Below are 21,405 nucleotides of genomic sequence, written 5' to 3'. Positions count from 1 at the left end.
AGGCTCCTCCTCTGCCTCCCAATCTCTGCTCCTGAATCTACACCTCTCATGGGCAGTTGGAAATGGGAGTTGCCCCTCTCCTTAGGAGAAATGCCTCTTGCTACACACCAGTGGGTCACCTTTGCTTCTGGTTCCTACAGAATAATCTCATCACAACATCACAGTTTCCTCATCTATTGATTCACATCCATTCATTTATTTGAGCATTTACTAAATATTTGAGTGGAAAAGCTCAATTCCAACACTGGGTTTTGCAAGTACAGTGCTGAACTAGACAGGTCTGGTTCCTGACCTCAGGTATTTTGCACATCACTACTCATTCCAAGGTGTAAAGTTGGGCTCATCCAGGCTTAAATAGGTGCATATATTCTGGGCCAAAACTTTAGGGCCCTGTACATCCATCTTAGGTCTTCATCTTTCAAAATACCTGCTCACACACACAAGGATAAACACGACTGAAGTAAGACAACCAAGTATTTTTTAATTGCCATATATACATATACATACATATGAGTGTATATATATATTTTATATATATATTATATATATTTTTATATATATTTTATATTTTATATATATTTTAAATTTTATATATTATGTGTATTTTATATATTATATATACATTTTATATATTATATATATTTTATATATATAATATATTATATATTATATATTATATATAATATATATAATATATTATATATTATATATATAATATATATATATTATATCTTATATATTATATATTTATATCTATATTATACATATTATATATATATTATATACATATTTTATATATATAATATATTATATATATATATTTTATATATATATAATATATTATATATATATATTTGGAGACAGGATCTTGCTCTGTCACCAATGTTGGAGTGCAGTGGTGTAATCATAGTTCACTGCAGCCTTGAACCCATGGTCTCAAGAAATTCTCCTGCCTCAGCCTCCCAAGTAGCTGGGACTACAGGTGCACACCATGACACCTGGCTTATTTTTACATTTTTTGTTGTTGTTGTAGAGACAGAGTCTTGCTATGTTGTCCAGGCTAGTCTGGAACTCCTGGCATCAAGCAGTCCTCTAAAAGTGCTGGGATTACAGGTGTGAGCCCCTGTTCCTGCACTGTATTTTATATTCATGTTGAGAAAAGCAACATCCTCATGAAAAAAAAAAACACACACATTTCAGGGAGACATAGCTGTGACTCAACCAATTCCTGCCATGTATTCTGCAGGATCAAATTCTATCTTCTCAGGCTTCTCCTCCTCAAGGACTGAGGGTTAGCTGAGTAGTATTCTTAGCTTTGTAGAAGAGGCAGGATTGTCAAGCGGGGATGCAGCTGTGAAATGCTCCAATGTGCTGCCTTCAAGTTGCTACTTTGAAAAATCATTAGGAGCCATGCAAGTCCCTTCCTCTATTGGAACTAACTGAATCTTCAGAAAGGTAAGACTTAGACACTCCACATTTTTTTGCCCCTTCCCTTCCGCCACCAAAAAAAACCCATGGTGATTAAAGATACTTGGTTGTCTTAGTTTACTAATATGAGATGGGGTGACCCAGGACTCAAAGAAGAAGCCCTTATGATGTATGATGAGAAGTCCATAGGCTTCTGTGTGTCATAGGGCTGGAGAAGGACATGCTTGGGAAGTGGAATAGGGTGACCATGACCTTGGAGTTCAGAAAGGCTGCTCCAGGGAATCAACACCAGAAAAGTGAGTTCCTGGTGAAGGGTAGTGGGAGGAGAGAGTGGATAACTGGTTTAGCCCACCTGTGTAAGTGTTGAGAGTTAGACTCTATCTACTCCCCTCTCCCACATCAGTTTTGGAAGCCTTGACTTCCAACTTGAGGTTGGCGAGTTTCTTCTGGGGATACCGGGGAGACATAAATGACAACTCAGAAGTGGTCAGAGCATCAGCATAGGCGGAATGCACCTGTGCGGTTTGTCACCTGTGGGGTTTCCAGGAAGGACACTTACAAGCCACATCCTCTTATCTCTCCAAATGCTTGGGTCCCACGCTCTTCCATATAAGCTGCATCCTCTTACCCCTCCACTGCCTGGGTCCCAAGCTCTTACTCTTTCCCTGCCACATTTCCTATTGGCACTCAACAAGTCAGGAGTGTCAATCTGAGGCCATTTCCTAAGCTTTTGAAAGGAATCCTCAGTAATATCTTTCAGACCGAGGACATTCTGCCAGCTGATTTACCAGAGGGGTGTTTTTTACCCAGGTAATACCTGAGGAAAATGAATGTCTGGTTGGTATTGGTATCCAGTCGTAAAGCAGAAAAAAATCACAGTGAGAAATTGTGTACACACAATAAGAAATACAGTATTCACAGGTTATTTTCTTTTATTATTTATTTGACATTATGTTTTAGAAGAATTTTGTAGCTTTCTGTAGTAAACCCTACTTTCATCTTTCTGCCCAAGGAAGCAATAGTTATGACTCAAGGGAAGTGTGAGGAAATCCAAAAGAGAGCATCTCCCCCTAAACCTGATCAAATTCCGTGGAGAGTTTGGTGTTAATTGAAGGAAGTGGCAGCCTTTCTGTAGTTGAATATGTATCAAAGTGAGGGACAAGTTGTTTTCCCTAAAAGAGTGTATGCGTATTTGAGAGTGAATATTTGCACACAGACATATATTTATAAAGATCTATAACAAGACAGTGTGGTTACATTGTGTTTGAATCAACATGTTTTGGATTAAGTCTCACTTCATCAGAAGCTCCCATTAAGACAAAAAGTGTCTCTCTACTACTCTGTTTTCCTACATCATTACATAAAACTCCACCACCCCTGGTGGGGGAGGAAAACTAAGAAATCTATTTTAGATATTCAAGGAAAATATGTGCAGGAAGTGTTATTACATTCTATTAGCTACACCAACTGCCACATAGAAAAAAGTCAGTTCCAAACTAACCAATATCCAGTCCTTGAAGTCTTCCGGGTGAGATTTTGCAGTGAGGGTCTCTAGAAAAGAAAGAATTGTTTACTTACTACCTTGAAGTGCTGGAGCTTAGGTGTGTCAAACTGAGGATGGCTTTCCCATCTGTGTTTTAAAAACCATATCAAGTCTGTGCATGTTCAGGACCTGTTCATGGGTGAGTGTGTGGGGCAGAAGCAGAAACTGGCACTCTCTATCTGTTCTAAAACAAAAACAAGGCTTTTGAATTACAAATTTGGAGGCAGAGTTCTGACTCATGAGAGTGTTAAGGGAAATTATTTGCAAGCTTGGACATAAAAATATGCAGCAAAGTCTAGATCTGTTTTATTTACTTTCTTTTTTGCTGCTGCAAAAGTCTTTTTTAAAATCTTTCTTTCTCTCTTCAGGTTAAAAGAAATGGACTGAGCTGGCATATTCATCAAAGCAATTTACTGAGAATGCACTTTGACAGACTGCATTAAGAATGTTGACTTGTGAAAACAAAGGGTTGCTTTATAATGCACATAAATTATATGCTTTAAAAAAGTGAAGGGTCTGAATTTTTTAATGATCCTCTAGCTAGAGCAGAATGGAGTTTTGCCTATTTTTCATTTTAGCACTTCAAAAGGTCTTCTCAGGATCCCATGGCTGACATAACTCAAGCAGAAAAGATAGCACGACTGTATTATGCTTTTCTACTTGGATCTATTAAAATTAGATTTAAGTCAACATATATTTATTAAGTATCAACCATGAACCAAAGACTGTGCTGAATGCTTTTAAGGATACAAAGATAAACCAAACAATGTCAGAAGAAGGTTGAAGGGAAATATCTCCTCAAATAGTAGCCTACCAGGGTATACTAAAAAAATGTACCCTCAAAAGAACAATATGGTTTCAAAGAATCAATTGATTGTGTTTGGTTGAGGGCTAGTAAATTATCTTATTTAAAACCCAATTTTGACTTCCATGTTTCTTGAGGGATGGATACTAGAAGAGACAGGAATCAAGGGAGAAGCGGGAGTCCAGAGGCACTAAGCAGCCTAAGCAAAGGTAATGTTTAAGGTCTGTTAAGGTGGCTGGTTTGACTTGGTGTCCAAAGTACACATAGAGGAAGAGGAAGAGGAAGACGCAGGGCTGGAAAGAGTGCAGCTTTGACACATAATTGATGGAAAATATGAGGAAGAGATGAAGATCTGGTAAGAAAATGCTATGCTGAAGGTGATATTTAATAATGGTTAATCCTGAAATGGTGTATGGTTGAATTGGTGAGGGATATGACTGAAGTTCCATCATGGGAGTATGGTAAAAAATTGCTGAGAAACAGTTGCATCTGAAATGCATGGGAAAACATGTGAGAACGGAAAAGAAGATGGATGTAGAATGTTATCTATATACGTTGGTGTTTGTGGAGTGAGGAAAGAGTTTAAAAATTACTTCTGCTATTATTGGCTTGACCAAGGATTGGGGTCAAATAGTTCTTTCATAATTTAGTAAAACCTGACAATGATACAAGGAACAATGAGTTAGAAATTTAAATGTAAGGGAACAAATAAATAAATGAATTCACATGTACACATAAATCGATCTAGTTAATTATGTGACACTTCTACACAGGAAACAACAACAAAAATGCTCAGAGAAATTAAAGGCCTACATACGGAAATATATCATGTTTATAGTCTGGAGGACCCAATATTTTTAAGATACCCATTTTTCCAAGCTTGTGCAATCCCTATCAATATTTTACCAAAGATTTTGTGGAAATTGTGAAACTGACTTGTAAAATTTATATCCAAAGCCGAAGTACCTAAAAAGCAGCTAAGGTAGCCTTGAAGAAAAACAAAGGCCAAATACTTAATTTACCAGATATCAAGAATTACAACGAAGCTATGGTAATCAAGATAGTAGCACAAGAATACACTAAAAGATACATAGAAAACAGAGTCTAGAATCTAGAGTACATCCCATATATGCAGTCGACATATTTATGAAAAAGTGTTACAGCAATTCATTGGCGGGAAAGAATGGTTGCTTAAATAGGTGTTGTTGGTTCCATTGGATTTCAATATTTTAAAAATAAAGTTTTACCTCTACTTCAAATAAATTAATATGAAATAGGTCACAGATGATCTGTAAAATACGAATTATAAAACTTATAGAAAAAAACAAGAAGAATATGTTTATGAGCTTGGGATATACAACAATTTTTAAAGAGAACACAAAAATTACTAGGCATAAAAAACTGATAAATTGGTTATCATTAAAATTAAAAAACTTTGCTCATCACTAGACATCACTAAGAGAGTTAAAGGATATGATAACGAATGAGACATTATAGTCTCCAGAGGACTGATATTTAGAATATATTAAGAAATCCTATAAATTAGTACAAAAAAGACAACTCGATTAAACATTTTCAGAAGATTTAGACAGACCATTTCCAAATAAAGATTTCTGACTGGCCCATAAGCATATGGAAAGTTACTCAACAGCATTCCTTATCAGGAAAATATAAGTTAAAGCCATAACGACATGCTACTGCCCAGCTACCAGAATGAATGAAATTGTGAAACGATTGACAATCCCATGTATTTGCACATGTCTGTGGAGTGACTGAAATTCTCACATATGGCTACTGGGAGAGTGAATTTGATGCAGGACAGGCGAGTCCCAAAGTGGGGCTTAGCCTTTCAGGATTTTTGGCTTTGCCAAGGATTCAAAGGTAAGCCAGTGGTAGGGTAGAAGAAAACAGCTTTATTGAAGCAGCAATAAAACGAATTTTACTTAAAAGATTTGTACAGTATATGCATGCTATGTCTAAAACATGATGATAATTTTGAAAACTTACTTTATCCCTTATGTAGAATGTTGTAAAATGTTCCATTTTAGCAACAACAAAACAATTGTAAAGGCATTTTTAAGAAAGGAGGCAAAAATCTATTATGTTTATTTTTTTCCCAGAATCTTACTGACCTACATATTTCCACATATTATGCATTTCAGTAAAACAATGGAGAAGAAATACATTTTCTTCACTTTAGAAAGAAAAAAATAACCCCAAGCCTATTAAGAAGCATAGCAATGATTGGAAGCATAAAAATGAAACTATCTTCGTTAATAAAAATGATTGCCCTGATCATATTATATACTCGTGTTTCAAAAGAAATGTTACCCAATAGAATTATACTGTACCTGACCGCTCACAACTCTCATTTTATTTCTGATCTATCTTATAGTTATCTCTGGAAAGAAAATGGCCCTCTGGTAATATATGTGACATCATGTGCTGAATTTGCCAAGAGGGGTAATTTTGATGAGAATAAATTCATAATAACATAATACATTTCCAGTATATAGGCCAATACTCACTCTAATGTCTATATCTTTTCACCAGTCTAGCATCTGATAGCATTTATGGAAAGCTTCACTGGCTGATCAAAATGTTCATATACTAAAGTGATTCAAGTTTAACTCATTTAAAGCATATAAGTCATGATGTGAGATGCAATTGTGTATTTGGAATATCTCCATTGGTCAGTAGTTTTTAGTACAAAATGAATGAGCCTTCTGGGTCCTGTAAATATTTTGTATTTTGAATAAATATATTACACAAATATCTTGCCATACATAAACACCACCTCCTAATGTCTAAACAAATATAATTTGATATTCAAAGAAGCACATGGTAATGGGGTGCTTCCCATGTGCAAGCACTTCAGACGTAGTGAGTTTGGGTCAGAATTTGCATTAGAAGCAGAGCCAAGATTCAAACACATCTCTTTCTGGGTCTAAAACCTATGATCTTCCCCTATTTCCAAATAATATCAGAGGGCAAAATGGCATGGCCACCAAGATCCCAGACTATGGAATTGAAGGAAAACGGGTTTCCTTCACAGTTCTGCCACTCACTCACTCTGGGGACCTTGAGCAGACTCAAATTAGTTGGTCAACGGTTGGTTGGCCAACATCAATGCCAACCTCACTCAGTTATCACAAAAATCAGACATCATGATATGTGACAAGTCCAGGGTGCAGTGCCCTGCCAATGGTGAGAGTCTCAATCCCTATCTGCGGCTATAACCAAACATCTTAGATGGTATAATTTATACATAATATAAATTTATTTCTCACAATTCTGGAGGCTGAGAAATCCAAGATCAAGGCACAGACAGATTTGGTATATGGTGAAGTCTGCTCTCTGCTTTGTAGATGGTGCCTCTCATTGTGTCCTCACCTGGATAAAGGGTGAAAGGGCCAAAGAGATCCTCTCAATTTCTTTCATAAGGGTACTCATCCCATTCAGGAGGCTGGAGCTCTCATGACCTAATCATCCCTCAAATCCTCCTAATACTATTGCATTGGAGATTAAGTATCAACCATAAATTTTGGAGGGACACTAACATTCAAATCACAGCAGTGAGGGCTCTATAAAAGTAAGTCATATTTATTACCCAACCACGTTTGCAATGAGGGGTTGTGGGGCAGATTTGACTGTCATAACAATTCCGGTTTTCTCTAAACTTGGGCACATCCTGTAGTTGAGTTGTTATAAGCTCATGCGACCAGGATGAATGGCTGGGGAGACACTGGAGATGTAAGCTGCCTCTTTATCTGTCTGTAGATCATCTTAACAGTTTATCATTAGATTTTTACTTTTGAGATGGAGTCTTATTCCATCACCTAGGCTGGATTAAAGTGGTGCAGTCATAGCTCACTATAGCCTTGACCTCCCGGGCTGAAGCAATCTTTCCGCTTCTATTTCCGAGTAGCTGGAACTACAGGCACAAACAACCATGCCTGGCTAATTCTCAATTTGTTTTGTACAGATGGGGTCTCACTATGTTGCCCAGGCTGGTCTTGAATTCCTGGAATCAAGCAATCCTCTCACCTCAGCCTCCCAAAGTGCTGGGATTACAGGCATGAGCCACGGTGCCTGACCTATTCTTAGATGTTGAGAGAAGCACACTGAATGCTTTTGCTAATGCTGAATAATAAAATCTTAACCACCAGTTACATGGCAAATACTTCCTGAGCATTTCACAGATATGATATTACGAAATCAGTAAGAAAATGTGGGGAGGTAAATAATAGTGTCCTCATATTACCAATAAATTAAATGAGTTTGTGCTGTGCTGTTCTGAAGAGATTCAACTTGTACTTTATTACAATGATATAGTCCAACACTCGGAGATGATAGTTCAAGTATTTTGTAAAAGTATCACAAAGAAAGATGCAATAGGGAGGGAACACACACACACCCCACAGAGATAGTGAAGAAAACCAAGGAGAAAAATTGCAACAGGTAAGAGAACAGCAACTTTTGTAGAGAAGAGGACAGTCTCCTTAACAGGGTGCAGCCAGGAAAGCCCTTCTGATCAAATGACATTTGAGCCTAGACCTGGAAGAAGTTGAGGATATATTGAAGATACATTTTCAAAGTAGAGCTGAATCTCTCAGGAGTTGAGAGAACGTCTACGTCAGATCATGGGATGATACTGCCATCGCTCCTCAGGCAGCAGGTGGCTATGGCTTCCTTGTGACTTCAGACCACGGTGGAGGCACCAACCTAATGGGTGCTCATTGGAGCCTGTAAGTGTCTGGAGGAGAAGGACTGTATGATCTTTCTGATATTGAAGAGCATGTAGAGGAAATCAAGCCTTTACCTGAAGCCACCATCATATTTTCTTCCTGTCATCTCTGTAGATTTCCTTGTTTTGACCAGACAAGTTAAAACTTTTGGATCTGCCAACAACCTTCATACCACGCCATTTTCCAATATGTATTCTGAATGTGACGGCTAATCACTTCATCATGGTAGGCAAATGTAGAAAGCCTGCCATTTTCGCAACCCAATGTATGATTTATCTGTAATTTGCAAAATAAAACCTAAATCAGCAAGCCATAAATTGTTACTGCTGTGTGCTGTTTACAAGAGATTTGAATGATAGGATGGCATTATTGGAAACCTGATAAATGTCAATTTAAGAGTTTTTTCCCAAAGTGCAAGACAGATTGACACCATACCAGATACTTTATAGAGAGCTGTAGTTTACTCAGATAAATAGTGTTTTCCACGAAAGTTACTGGATGGTTTTGTTATTGAGTCATTATTCTTTTCATACAGTGGTTTGGTAGCCAATTCATACAGAACCACAATTCTTTAGGTTTGCTTTGACCATACTATTCAACCTAGTGGAGATTAGGCTCAATTGTTTTGAGCAGCAGGAATACAAAATCTTGAAGAAGAGATACTAAATCAAGGTTCAACATAGCCACCACACACACACACACACACGCACACACACACACACACACACACACACACACACACACAGTGCAGCATAATGCAATTCTCTTGCAAGAATTTTCTACAGAATTCATTTGAGAGAAAAAATATCATCTTTTTAATTACAGTTCCCAGATTTGCTCTGCTGTTGCTGACACAGTGTATTAGCCACCCTGATTATGTTTTAGAGACTCATGAAAATTTCGGGTTTCATTGTGTTTGCAAAATGTTTCTCCGAGTGCACACTGTATGCTGACATGGCAGACTGTTGAACTAATATAATGTTACTCTGATTAAGCTGATTAAAAGCTGTGTGTTTTGACACATATTGGAAAAGGCTAAGCTGTTGGAATAGGGGACAATAATGAAATAAAGCTTAAACTTGTTCCATGTCACACAATACCATGGTTCCTCCTAACAAGATTACGATGACATTAAGATTCCTTTCTCATCTAAATCTGGATTTTGTGAGACAATGTACAGACACATTTTAAGAGATATCACCCGTAGTAAAGTGTTTAAGAAGACAGTTCACAGATCCAACTTTTAATAAAATATAGGCTGTGACATTAACTCATATTTCATAGGCTTAGGGTTTTAAAGATCACCCTTTAAGGAACTGGTTCTTTCCCTAGAACTTGTCTTTAATAATTTCCGTAGCTGTCATTGGAGGAGCAACAGCACTGGCCATGGGTTTCTTTGACCTCCTCAGGTTGTTCCTGGAAATTTCGCACCAGGGTTAGCTAATCATGTGCTTCCTACAAAAATTATTTTTTATTAAGATGACAGGATAAAATTTACCTAAACCCTGTATTTGCTGGGCATATGCAAAGTGAGGAAAAAACACATTTATGTACCTACATACAGGGAAAATTAGCCCAAATTCAAATTTTTATAACTCATTCTTAACTTTATTCTGGTTTTCTTTTCTTCTTCTGATTAACCATTAACTTATATCATAGGTGGTACCCACCCATGTTTTCTAGGGCTTTCCCTATAAAGGAGAGCAATTTATTTGTATTTAGTAACTATTTTTTTTGCTCTTTTTTGCCTATACTTTATTTATTCACTTATTTGAGACACGATCTCACTCTGTCCCTCAGGCTAAAGTGCAGTGGCGCGACCATAGCTTACTGCAGCCTGAAACTCCTGGCCTCAAGCAATCCTCCCACCTCAGCCTCCAAGTAGCTGGGCCTATGGGCATGCACCACCATGCCTCGCTACATTTTAGATTTTTTTGTAGAGACAACGTCTCACTATGTTGTCCAGGCTGGTCTCACACTCTTGGGCTCAAGAGATCCTCCCACCTTGGCCTCCCCAAATGCTGGGGTTACAGGCATGAACCACCATGTCTGGCCCGCCTTTCCTTAAAAAAATTATGGAACAATGAAAACACCAATACCTTTGCAAATCTGTAACATATGGTTCTCATGCCCTCCATGGATTCTTTCCACAGTGGACAAGCATTTCTTAGCACTCACTCTGTTCATTGCTCTTTCAAATGATATGGATAAACAACAGATTTTCATAAAGCACTTCAGAGCCCTTGAAGCACTTTGACAATGGTTGTCCTACTTTATCCTTGAAATGACCCCTTAAAGAAGGAAAAACAGATGTTATTATCTCCGTATTTGAAAACAAAATATAATCAGACAGATTATACAGTTAGGCAAAGTTCTTATAGCCATGAGTGGGGTGGTTTGGTCCTTGGACTTCTAGTTTGACAACTTTTCTGAAACTACATATTCAAATCTTAGATTCATTTCTTTACTAAGCTTCACAGTTTTCAAATCTGTGGTTTTCAATCTTTGGATGTGCACTCTTGCACCCAACAACCTAAATGGATATAAACACTGCTATGGACCGAATTGTGTCCCTCAAAATTAATAATTTGGAACCCTAACCCCCAATATGACTGTGTCTGAAGACAGGGCCTTTGAGGAAATACTAAAATGAAGTCATAAGAGTGGGCCCTCACTCAATAGATCTGGTGCTCTTATAAGAAGGGGAAGAGACACCAGCACTCTCTCTCTACCATGTTAGAATGTGGCTGCCTGAAGCCAGCAAGAGAGCCTTTACCAGAATCTCCACGTTGCTAGACCTTGATCCTAAACTTCCCATCCTCCAGTACTGTGAGAAACGGAATTCTGTTGCTTAAGCCATGTAGTTTGTAGTGTTTTGTTAAGATAGCCTGAACAGATTCGTATAAACACAATAGTACTATTACAAGAATTATCAACTAAGTTTTCTCACATGTGAAAATTATACATTCACAGGCGTATATATGTATTAGTTTATTTTCATGCTGCTGATAGAGACACACCCGAGCCTGGGCAATTTACAAAAGAAAGAGGTTTAATGGACTCACAGTTCCACATGGCTGGGAAGGCCTCACAATCATGATATAAGGTGAAAGGCACATCTCACATGGTGACAGACAAGAGAAGAGAACGTGTGCAGGGAAACTACCCTTTGTAAAACCATCAGATCTCATGAGACTTATTCACTACCACAAGAACAGCACAGGAAAGACCTGCCCCCATGATCCAATTACCTCCCACCCTGTCCTTCCCAAAAGTGGGAATTGTGGGAGGTACAATTCAAGATGAGATTTGAGTGGGGACACAACCAAATCAAATCAATATGCATAAGTGTTTTCAGCTATGCTGAGTGAATAATGAATGGCTTTCCAAATATGTCCATGTCCTTAATCACCAGAGCCCATACCTGTGTCACCTTATATGGCAAAAGGGACTTTGCAGTTGTGATTAAGTTAAGGACTTTGAGAAGGGGAGATGATCTTGGATTATCTGCCTGTGTTCAAAATAATCATTAATGTCCTTTAAGAGAGAGGCAGGAGAATCAGAATCAGAGAAGGAGATGGGACAAGGGAAGCAGAGGTTGGAGTGATGGAGGAGGAAGCCACAAGCTAAGGAAGGCAGGTGGCCTCTAGAAGTTGGAAAAGGCAAGAAAATGAATTCTCCCCAGGAGCCTTCAGAGGAGACACAACGTTGTCAAAATATCAGTTTTAGCCTTCCGAGACTGATTTTGGACTCCCAACGTGCAGAAATAAAAAATAATGTTTGCATTGTTTTAAGAAACTAAATTTGTGATTAATGGCAAAGGAACAGTAGGAAAGGAATACCTCATCCTAAAAGGGAATTCTAGGATTAGAATGATTAAACTATGAAAAATTAAACTCATTTCAGAACCAACTTTTAAGGTTTGGGGATCAGTTGACGAAAAACCTCACCCACAAAGAATTAGGCATCTAAAAGTTTTCAGTTATAATTTAAGAAAAAGAATTTTAAAACCCTGCTGAATGCATGTTCATATGTCTATTTATAAGTAACAATTTTAAGATTTTAATGGCCACTTTAGCTAGCAAGAGAAGGAAATATTGCCATGTGTATTACATATTTTGAAGCAAAAAGCTTAATACTTGGAGAGGAATCAGAAGGATTCTGAGTCCTACACTATTCACTGGCATAAACAAAATATCTACTTTCTGCCTCTTCAGTCACAAAAAAAGGGCCTATCTCTTGCCGCTTCATGCAATTAAAGAAAGAAAGATGCGCCTGGGTATTTATTTCGGATATTCAGCACAATGGGAGCTTGTAATTAATATGAATCTTTTCCTTTGTGGCTATTTTAAAGTCAGCAGGAAGTCATATGAAAGGAAAGGCTGTATTTTTAAAACTTCAGGTAATGTTCCCAAGCTTGGGAGGTTCACGCTAATAAAGAAAATGTCTTTTGAAAAAGAATATAGAGCTAGTTATATTTTTTATATGTTATGAAAGAAAAACAGTCCTTGGAGGACAAAGATCTCTAACCAAGCCTTAGCCTCAGAGCTGTGGGGAAGCACCAGGTCAGAGACTTTCAATTCTAAACTTTAAAGTCTGCATCTCTCCTTGTTTGGGCTACACCAGATCCTGACTGCACATGTTCGCCATTCCTCCACCATTCCTCCGTTATCAGTCATGAGTTCTCCACAGTCTCCCAGCACTTTGCATGTATTTCAGTCATGACACTGAGCATGTCTCATGGTGTTCTATTATTTCCATCTTTATGTCCATGTGTACCCATTGTTTAACTCCCACTTATCAGTGAGAACACGAAATATTTGATTTTCTGTTTCTGCTTGAATTTGCTTAGGATTATGGCCTCCAGCTCCATTTATGTTGCTTCAAAGGACACGGTTTCATTCTTTTTTATGGCTGTGTAGTATTCCATAGATTATATGTATCACATTTTCTTTATCCAATCAACCCTTGATGAGCAGTTAGATTTGTTCCCTGACTTTGCTACTGTGAATTGTGCTGCAATGAACATCCTAGTGCAAATGTATTTTTTTATATAATGATTTGTTTTCCTTTGAGTAGATACCCAGTAGTGGGATTGTTGGGTTGGATGGTAGTTCTATTTTTAGTTCTTTGGGAAATCTCCATACTGATTTCTATCGAGGTTGAACTAATTTATATTCCCACCAATAGTGTATAACAGTGTAGTCACTTGTTCTGAGTGCATTTCCCCCTGTTGGTCTCTTAAACAATCAGCAATTAAGAAACAAGGTCTGGGTCTGATCATTGACATGTTCCTTCCCCACTTTCTCATTTTTCTCTATTGCAAGTCTATCTACAGTGTTTGGTATGCAATAGGCATTCAATAGTGTTGGTCAATGTCTCCTCGTTCTTGCTCCATGCAGGTCTGTGTGGACCCCTGGCAATATTCATGGCACAGGGAGCTTATTCTCCCAATCCTCCTCTGGGGACCTGGACACTCAAGCATGTATGACATGCTGTCTTTCTTCTGCACCAAGACCAAGGCTCTTACCGGGCACTCCATCCTGGCCCTGGGACTGCATTGGCCTCTCAGAACAATTTTATGACATCTACCTACATTCTGTTGCTTAAAATTCTTCTCACTCTTGTGCCTTCCAATGAAGTCACTTCACTAAACGTGAAAACAAGACAAGACAAAACATAACAAAAAAAAAGTGTTTTGGATAATACACACACATTCAGAGAAGACTGAGGAAGCAGGAAACATCTTTTCTTTTTCAATGTGCTTTTTTTTTGTTGTTTTTTTTTTTTTGGAGATGGAGTCTTACTCTGCCACCCAGGCTGGAGTGCAGTGGTGCGATTTCGGCTCACTGCAACCTCCACCGTCTGGGTTCAAGCGATTCTTCTGCCTCAGCCTCCCTACTAGCTGGGAAAACAGGCACCCACCACCATGCCTGGCTAATTTTTTTGTGTGTTTTTAGTAGAGACGGGGTTTTACCATGTTGGCCAGGCTGATCTCGAACTCCTGACCTCAGGTGATCCGCCTGCCTCAGCCTCCAAAAGTGCTGGGATTAAAGGCATGAGTCACTTGGCTCAGGCCAAAGTGCATATTTTTAAAGTATACATTGTGGATTTCAATTTAAGTCAGAGTCTAAGGTGAGGTTTTGGGAAGCTGGAGGAGGGACATGTGGCAAGTCTCATCATTCCTCATTGCCTTAGCAGATGTTTTTTTTTTACCTCAGGCCTGGCCTGTAGAGAGCGATACAATGGAATGCCAAGATTTAGCTGAGGGTAGGCTAGGGATGTGGCCCAGATGAAATGTGGGTGTGCTTGTGCTACTGAACTTTGCCTAGCAAGAATACTCGGGGCTGAGAAGAAATATGCCAGCAATTTTATGAGTTCAAATTTAGGAATTTAAAATCAAGCTTTACAAACATGTACCCCACTTAGAAGGGCACTTGTCATGAATCCTGGAATGGCTGGGCCTTTCCAGGTGTTGAGAGAACCCACCACTTGCACAGTTACTTATTTCTTGAGGAACAAAGATTCTTCGGGTTGATTTTTAGTGTTGGTGCCCCCACCACCTTTGCGATTTTCCACATTGGCAGTTGTACACGCCCAGTAATAAACATCTCCTTCACATCATCAATGTGCAGGTAGCAGGATGTTTCAAGTTTTAAACTTTTGAAAGAAGAGTCCATTTCTAATATTTAATACATTTTATTTTCTGGAGCAGTCTTACATAGCTTCAGGAGGCATGATGCTTATCAGTTGACTATTTACTCTTTTGCCTTTTAGGGCTTGGCAAATTCATGTTTCATTTATTAAACTTTATGAATGCATTTTAAAATACTTAAAAGTTACTAATTTGAAAGCACATCTTCTTCATTTTAAAACTTGATAGAAGAAAGTCATTATTTTATATTTTTTGAGACAGGGTTTTGCTCTGTCGCCCAGGCTGGAGTGCAGTGGTGTGATCATGGCTTACTGCAGCCTCTACCTCCCTGGGCTCAGGTGATCCTCCCACCACAGCCTCCTGAGTAGCTGAGACTACAGACATATACCACCATGCCTGGCAATTTTTGTAGTTTTTGTAGAGACAGGGTTTTGGCTTATTGCCCAAGCAGTCTGCCTGCCTTGGCCTCCCAAAGTGTTGGGGTTACAGGCATGAGCCACCATGACCAGCAATCCATTATCTTTTTTTTTTTTTTTGGAGATGGAGTCTCGCTCTGTTGCCCAGGCTGGAGTGCAGTGGCGCCATCTCCACTCACTGCAAGCTCGCCTCCCGGGTTCACGCCATTCTCCTGCCTCACCTCCCGAGTAGCTGGGACTACAGTCACCCGCCACCACGCCCGGATAATTTTTTTTTGTATTTTTAGTAGAGACGGGCTTTCACCATGTTAGCCAGGATGGTCGCGATCTCCTGACGTCGTGATCCGCCCACCTCGGCCTCCTAAAGTGCTGGGATTACAGGTGTGAGCCACCGTGCCCGGCCCTTTATCTTTAGAATGGAAATTTTTATTGCAATCCAAGAGATACCATATTCATTGGTAATTATAATATAGATTAATCAATAGAAAGTCTTCTTTCACTAATTATAGTTCCTCACTAACCTGACTACTGTCTTTCTTTGAAGACCTTTAAAAATATAATAAGCACTTAAGTTCTTTTGACTTTCTCTATGGCTTAATTTCAAAGATTGTAGTCCCTTTCCATCAGCCCAGTATTATTTAAATGATGGTTAAACATGCACATGTTTGCCCCTTCCTAAAAAAGACCTAATACAGCAGAATCACTAAAGAGAGGAGCCCCAAATCTGCACATAAAACAATATCTCTGTGAAACAAAATTCTTCTGAACAACGTTTTATAAGTAAGGGGGGGAGCAATTTTATTAAGTAACAGATGATTGCCAAGAGTGTAAGGTGCATTATACACATTATCTTATTACGTTTCTGACAATACTCCAAGGGCAACATACTGTCTGCTTTTTACAGATGAGTACACAGGACCAGGGAGAACATGATTTGTGCAATAGCGCCCAGCACACCTTTATGCACACAAGATTCTTGTCGTTACTTGTTATTTCTGACTCCCTTGACCTTTTCCACCTTTTTCGAATTCTGTGATGATCTTTTGGACATGCCAGCTTTGCTAAGCTATGGTGTCCCGTTATTTAAACGAACGTAGGCATTGTCATAAAGATATGTAATTAAAGCCCATAATCAGTTGACTTTAAGTAAGGCAGATTATCCCGTTAACCTTGTGGTCCTTGTTTATTCTGGGGAAAGGCTTTCAAAGCAGGGTCGATGCTTAAAAACATGTAGAGAAGAAGAAACTCTGCCTCTGGGGAGCAGCCTCAGTCTATGTGGTGAGTTTCAGGCTGTACTTCCTGCTAGCTTGCCCTGTGGGATTTGGACCTGTTTCTCTCTCTCTCTCTCTCTCTCTCTCAAATAAATAGAGAGCTACCTGAAATAGTTCTAGATAGATGGATAGATGAATAGATGTATGGATGAATAGATGGATAGATAGATGATAGGTAGAATAGATCTAGATAGATAGATGGATAGATGAATAGATGTATGGAATGTATAGGTGAACAGAAAGATAGATAGCTGGAATAGATATAAATGGATGGATAGATGAATAGACAGATGAATAGATGGATAGATAGACGATAGGTGGAATAGATCTAGATAGATGGATAGATGAATATATGTATGGATGGACAGAAAGATAGATAGCTGGAATAGATATAGATAGATGAATAGACAGATAGAATAGGTCTAGGTAGATAGATGAATAGATGAATAGGTAGATGGATGGACAGAAAGATAGCTGGAAGAGATATAGATGAATGGATGAATGAGTGGAGAGATGGATAGATAAATGGACGGAATAGATCTAGATAGATAGATAGTGATATGGTTAGGCTTTGTGTCCCCACCCAAATCTCATCTTGAATTGTAATCACCATAATTCCCACATGTCAAGGGAGAGACTAGGTGGAGGTAATTGCATCACTGGGTTGGTTTCCCCCATGCTGTTCTCATGATAGTGAATTCTCATGAGATCTAATGGTTTTATAAGGGCCTCTTCCCCCTTCCCTGGGTATTTCTCCTTCCTGCCGCCTTGTAAAGAAGGTGCCTTGCTTCCCTTTCACCTTCCGCCATGATTATAAGTTTCCTGAAGCCTCCCCAGCCATGTGGAACTGTGAGTCAATTAAACCTCATATATATATATATATATATATATATATATATATATATATATATATATATCCCAGTCTCAGGCAGTTCTTTTTAGCAGTGTGAAAATGGACTAATGCACATGGATAGATGAATACGTGGATGGATGGATGGATGGATGGATGGATGGATGGATGGAATAAACACATATACAGATAGATGATAGCTCTCTAGCTTTTTCTCTCTTGCTTCCTCTAGAAAGATAAATAGATTTCATATATTTTTATCAATCATACATGTATAAAGAGGATATATATGTGTATATCTATCTGTATCCATATCTGCATTTATATCTATAGCTTTAGCTATCTTTGTAGTTCTGCTTCCCTGCCTGAGTCATGTTTTACACAGATATGATATTGTGTGGGAAATCTGGGCAACACTGACACTGTTAATGTTCATAAAATGACTCCAGGGGCCAGGTGTGGTGGCTCACGCCTGTAACCCCAGCACTTTGGGAGGCTGAGGCGAGTGGATCACTTGAGGCCGGGAGTTTGAGACCAGATTGGCCAGTATGGTGAAACCACGTCTCTACAGAAAATACAAAAATTAGCCAGGAGTGGGGGCACGTGCCTGTAATCCCAGCTACTGGGGAGGCTGAGGCAGAAGATTCACTTGAACCCAGGAGGCAGAAGTTGCAGTGAGCCGAGATCACGCCACTGCACTCCAGCCTGGGCGACAGTGAGACTCTGTCTCTAAAACAAACAAACAAAAAAATATGACAGCAGAAAAGTGATGATTTCACTACAGAATCATTGAGAACTCACTCTAAACAACCAGCACGTCATCTTAAGGAGATGACTCATTAAATTTCCTCTTGGTATGTAACTGCAGCTGGTTGGTACCCATGAAGTCAGGTGTTGGCAGCTACCTTTTGGCTTTGATTTACGGAAAGAAAATGTGATTGCTTTCTTGGGGTCTTTTACAAACAAATACAGAGAAAAGCTGCTCCATGTGCAGGGAAACCAGCCTCTTGATTCTGTGTGAAGTGCGTAATCCTGAAAAGGAAAATGAATGAGCCTTGGAGATGCTCTTCAAGAGACATGAGGGAAAATAGAGAACTAAAGGGAGATGTGAAACTACTAATTTAGGAAATAAGAGAACTTCAAATACCTTGTAGGTTAGTGAAGGTGAGACAATCTTACAGTCACGCAATCAAATGCTATTATTTTATAGTCAAAAGTGCTACGAGAAGGGTTTAAGTGGATTCAGCACTCCTGTAGCAGTACTACAGTAAAAATCTAGGCGTTATGATATCCATTCCAATGGCATGTCTACTAAACTGCATTGCTTCTAGTAATTTGTTTGCTATTTGGTGTCCATGGTATCAGTGTTTTGGAAGGTGAGGTGAGGAATCTGATCTTTAAGGCCCAATACTGTAGAATGGGCTATAATTCAAATAGAGAAACTTGGAGTCAGCGCATTTTAATCGTCTTTAACTCAGACACTTGCATTGCTGAAGTTAAGTGCCCTTGATATCAGGAATATTGATGTTTTTATAGAATCAGAGAGCTGTGAACTAAGGGAGGCAGAAATGAAGTTATGTAGAATTTGAACTAAGGCTGCAGAATGCAAAATGCCTCCTAACACTAAAATTGCCTTTTGGACCTATGCTTCAAAATTTTTGGCTCATCCTCCTGGAATTCCTACCCCTCACTTCCCAAAGATGCTCTCTTCTTTCCTTGCTACCTGCATGTATCCTCATGTTTTTCTATCATACACAGTCATGTGTTGCTTAGCAATAGTGAGAGGTTCTGAGAAATGTGTCCTTAGATGATTTTGTCATCATGTGAACATCACAGAGTGGACTTACACAAACTTAGATGGTATAGCCTGCTATATACCTGGACTATATGGTATAACCTATTGCTCCTAGGCTACAAACCTGAACAGCCTGATCCTGTACTACATACTGTAGGTAATTGTAACCCAATGATAAGAAGTTGGGTATCTAAATATGGAAAAGGCACAGTACAGTAAAAATACAGTATTATAATCTCATGGGAGCACTGTTGTATATGCGGTCTGTTGTTGACATGTTGTTAGAGCAAGACTATATATATATATATATATACACACACACACATACATTATATATATGTATAAAGCTGCTGTGAACATATTTGTACAACTCTTTTGTGTATATATGCACTCATTTCTCTTAGGTCTATATCTAGGAGTTGAATTTCAATGTAAATATCCATTCAAAGGAAAATGGATGAACACAGTATGGCATGCTCATAGAATGGAGTGTACACATGTTGGTACCAACAAACAAAAAGCACATATGACAGACAGAAGCACAAATATGACTGAATCTCCAAAACGTCATGTTGAGAAAAAGAGCCCGTTCTTGTAGCCCATGAGGGTAAAGAGCCCTGGGTGGAAAGTACGTCTAGAGGGCAGATGGAAGTGCTCCAGCACTCCAGCCTTGCCTGCAGAAGAAAGATCTTTAGGAAAAAGAGACGAAAGATGTCAGATTCCCTATGGAAGGGCAAAATAGTGACGCCAGGCTGTGAAATATGATGGAACATAAATTGGTCAGCTTGTCTGTGGTGACTGTGTCTCTTTTCCCCCTGCTCTTCATGATTTAAAATGAAGCCTAGTTAGCATTTTAACCTAAGGGTTGGTTTTTCCGAAGGAGGAGCAAACCACAATTTTTCAATTTAGTTTTGATAAGTCTAGAAGCCAGATTTCAGCTTTCACAGTTATAAAGGAAAGCAACAAAGGAGAGTTATGATTCCATTTTGATGGTTTATCTGGTAGCTGAGACAACTGTTGGTGGCTTCTACTCAATCCAGGCACAACATTCTATGTCTGGGTGTTTGCATCAAGAAAGGAAAACCCGGCCGGGCGCGGTGGCTCACGCCTGTAATCCCAGCACTTTGGGAGGCCGAGGCGGGCGGATCACGAGGTCAGGAGATCGAGACCATCCCGGCTAAAAACGGTGAAACCCCGTCTCTACTAAAAATACAAAAATTAGCCGGGCGTAGTGGCGGGCGCCTGTAGTCCCAGCTACTTGGGAGGCTGAGGCAGGAGAATGGCGTGAACCCGGGAGGCGGAGCTTGCAGTGAGCCGAGATCCCGCCACTGCACTCCAGCCTGGGCGACAGAGCGAGACTCCGTCTCAAAAAAAAAAAAAAAAAAAAAAAAAGAAAGGAAAACCCTGGAGATATGACTTTTCCTTGGTAGGATCACGTACTTTGTATTCAATTTCTCTCTGCAGGAATGCATAGACTTTTTCCTAAAGATTATACCTGTCCTCTCTGCCTGCCTTCCCTCCTTGGAATATTACAAATGCTTTCTTCCTGCCATTTTTCTGCCTTTCTTCATATGGTTTCTTTAAGTAATTAAAAAAATTTTTTGAGATAATTTTAGTTTTACATGTAGGTGTAAGAAATAATACAGAGAGATCTCAAGTATCCTTCATCCAGTTTTCCCCAAGAGTAACCTCTTGAAGAAAGAACTACAGTACAATGTCACAACCAGGAAGCTGACATCCGCCAACCTCACCAACCTCATTCACATTTCCCTGGTTTTTCATGCCCTCATTTGTGTGTTAGTGTATATGTTTGTGTGTACTTCAGTGCAATTTTATCATACTCATAACCTCTTCTCTGTAAAATTTTGATTCAAGTTTATATTGACACAACTTT

General features: G+C 39.0%; 1 long non-coding RNA gene across 3 annotated transcripts in view; it reads right to left on the bottom strand.

The window, feature by feature from the left end:
* The window catches only part of LOC107985675 (uncharacterized), a 528,885-nt gene that overhangs the window by 28,129 nt on the left and 479,351 nt on the right, over positions 1-21,405 (bottom strand). The window contains exon 3 of one of the 3 annotated variants that reach the window (XR_001755783.2): positions 2,930-7,169. The exons of the other annotated variants lie outside the window; for them this stretch is intronic. This is a non-coding gene — a long non-coding RNA (uncharacterized LOC107985675). The remainder of the gene's footprint in view (positions 1-2,929; positions 7,170-21,405) is intronic. 3 annotated transcript variants of the gene reach the window in all.

Source organism: Homo sapiens, chromosome X (assembly GCF_000001405.40).
Source record: "Homo sapiens chromosome X, GRCh38.p14 Primary Assembly".
NCBI lineage: Eukaryota > Metazoa > Chordata > Mammalia > Primates > Hominidae > Homo > Homo sapiens.
Note: the sequence above shows the minus strand (reverse complement) of the source record. Positions and strands in the feature narration are given on the sequence as shown.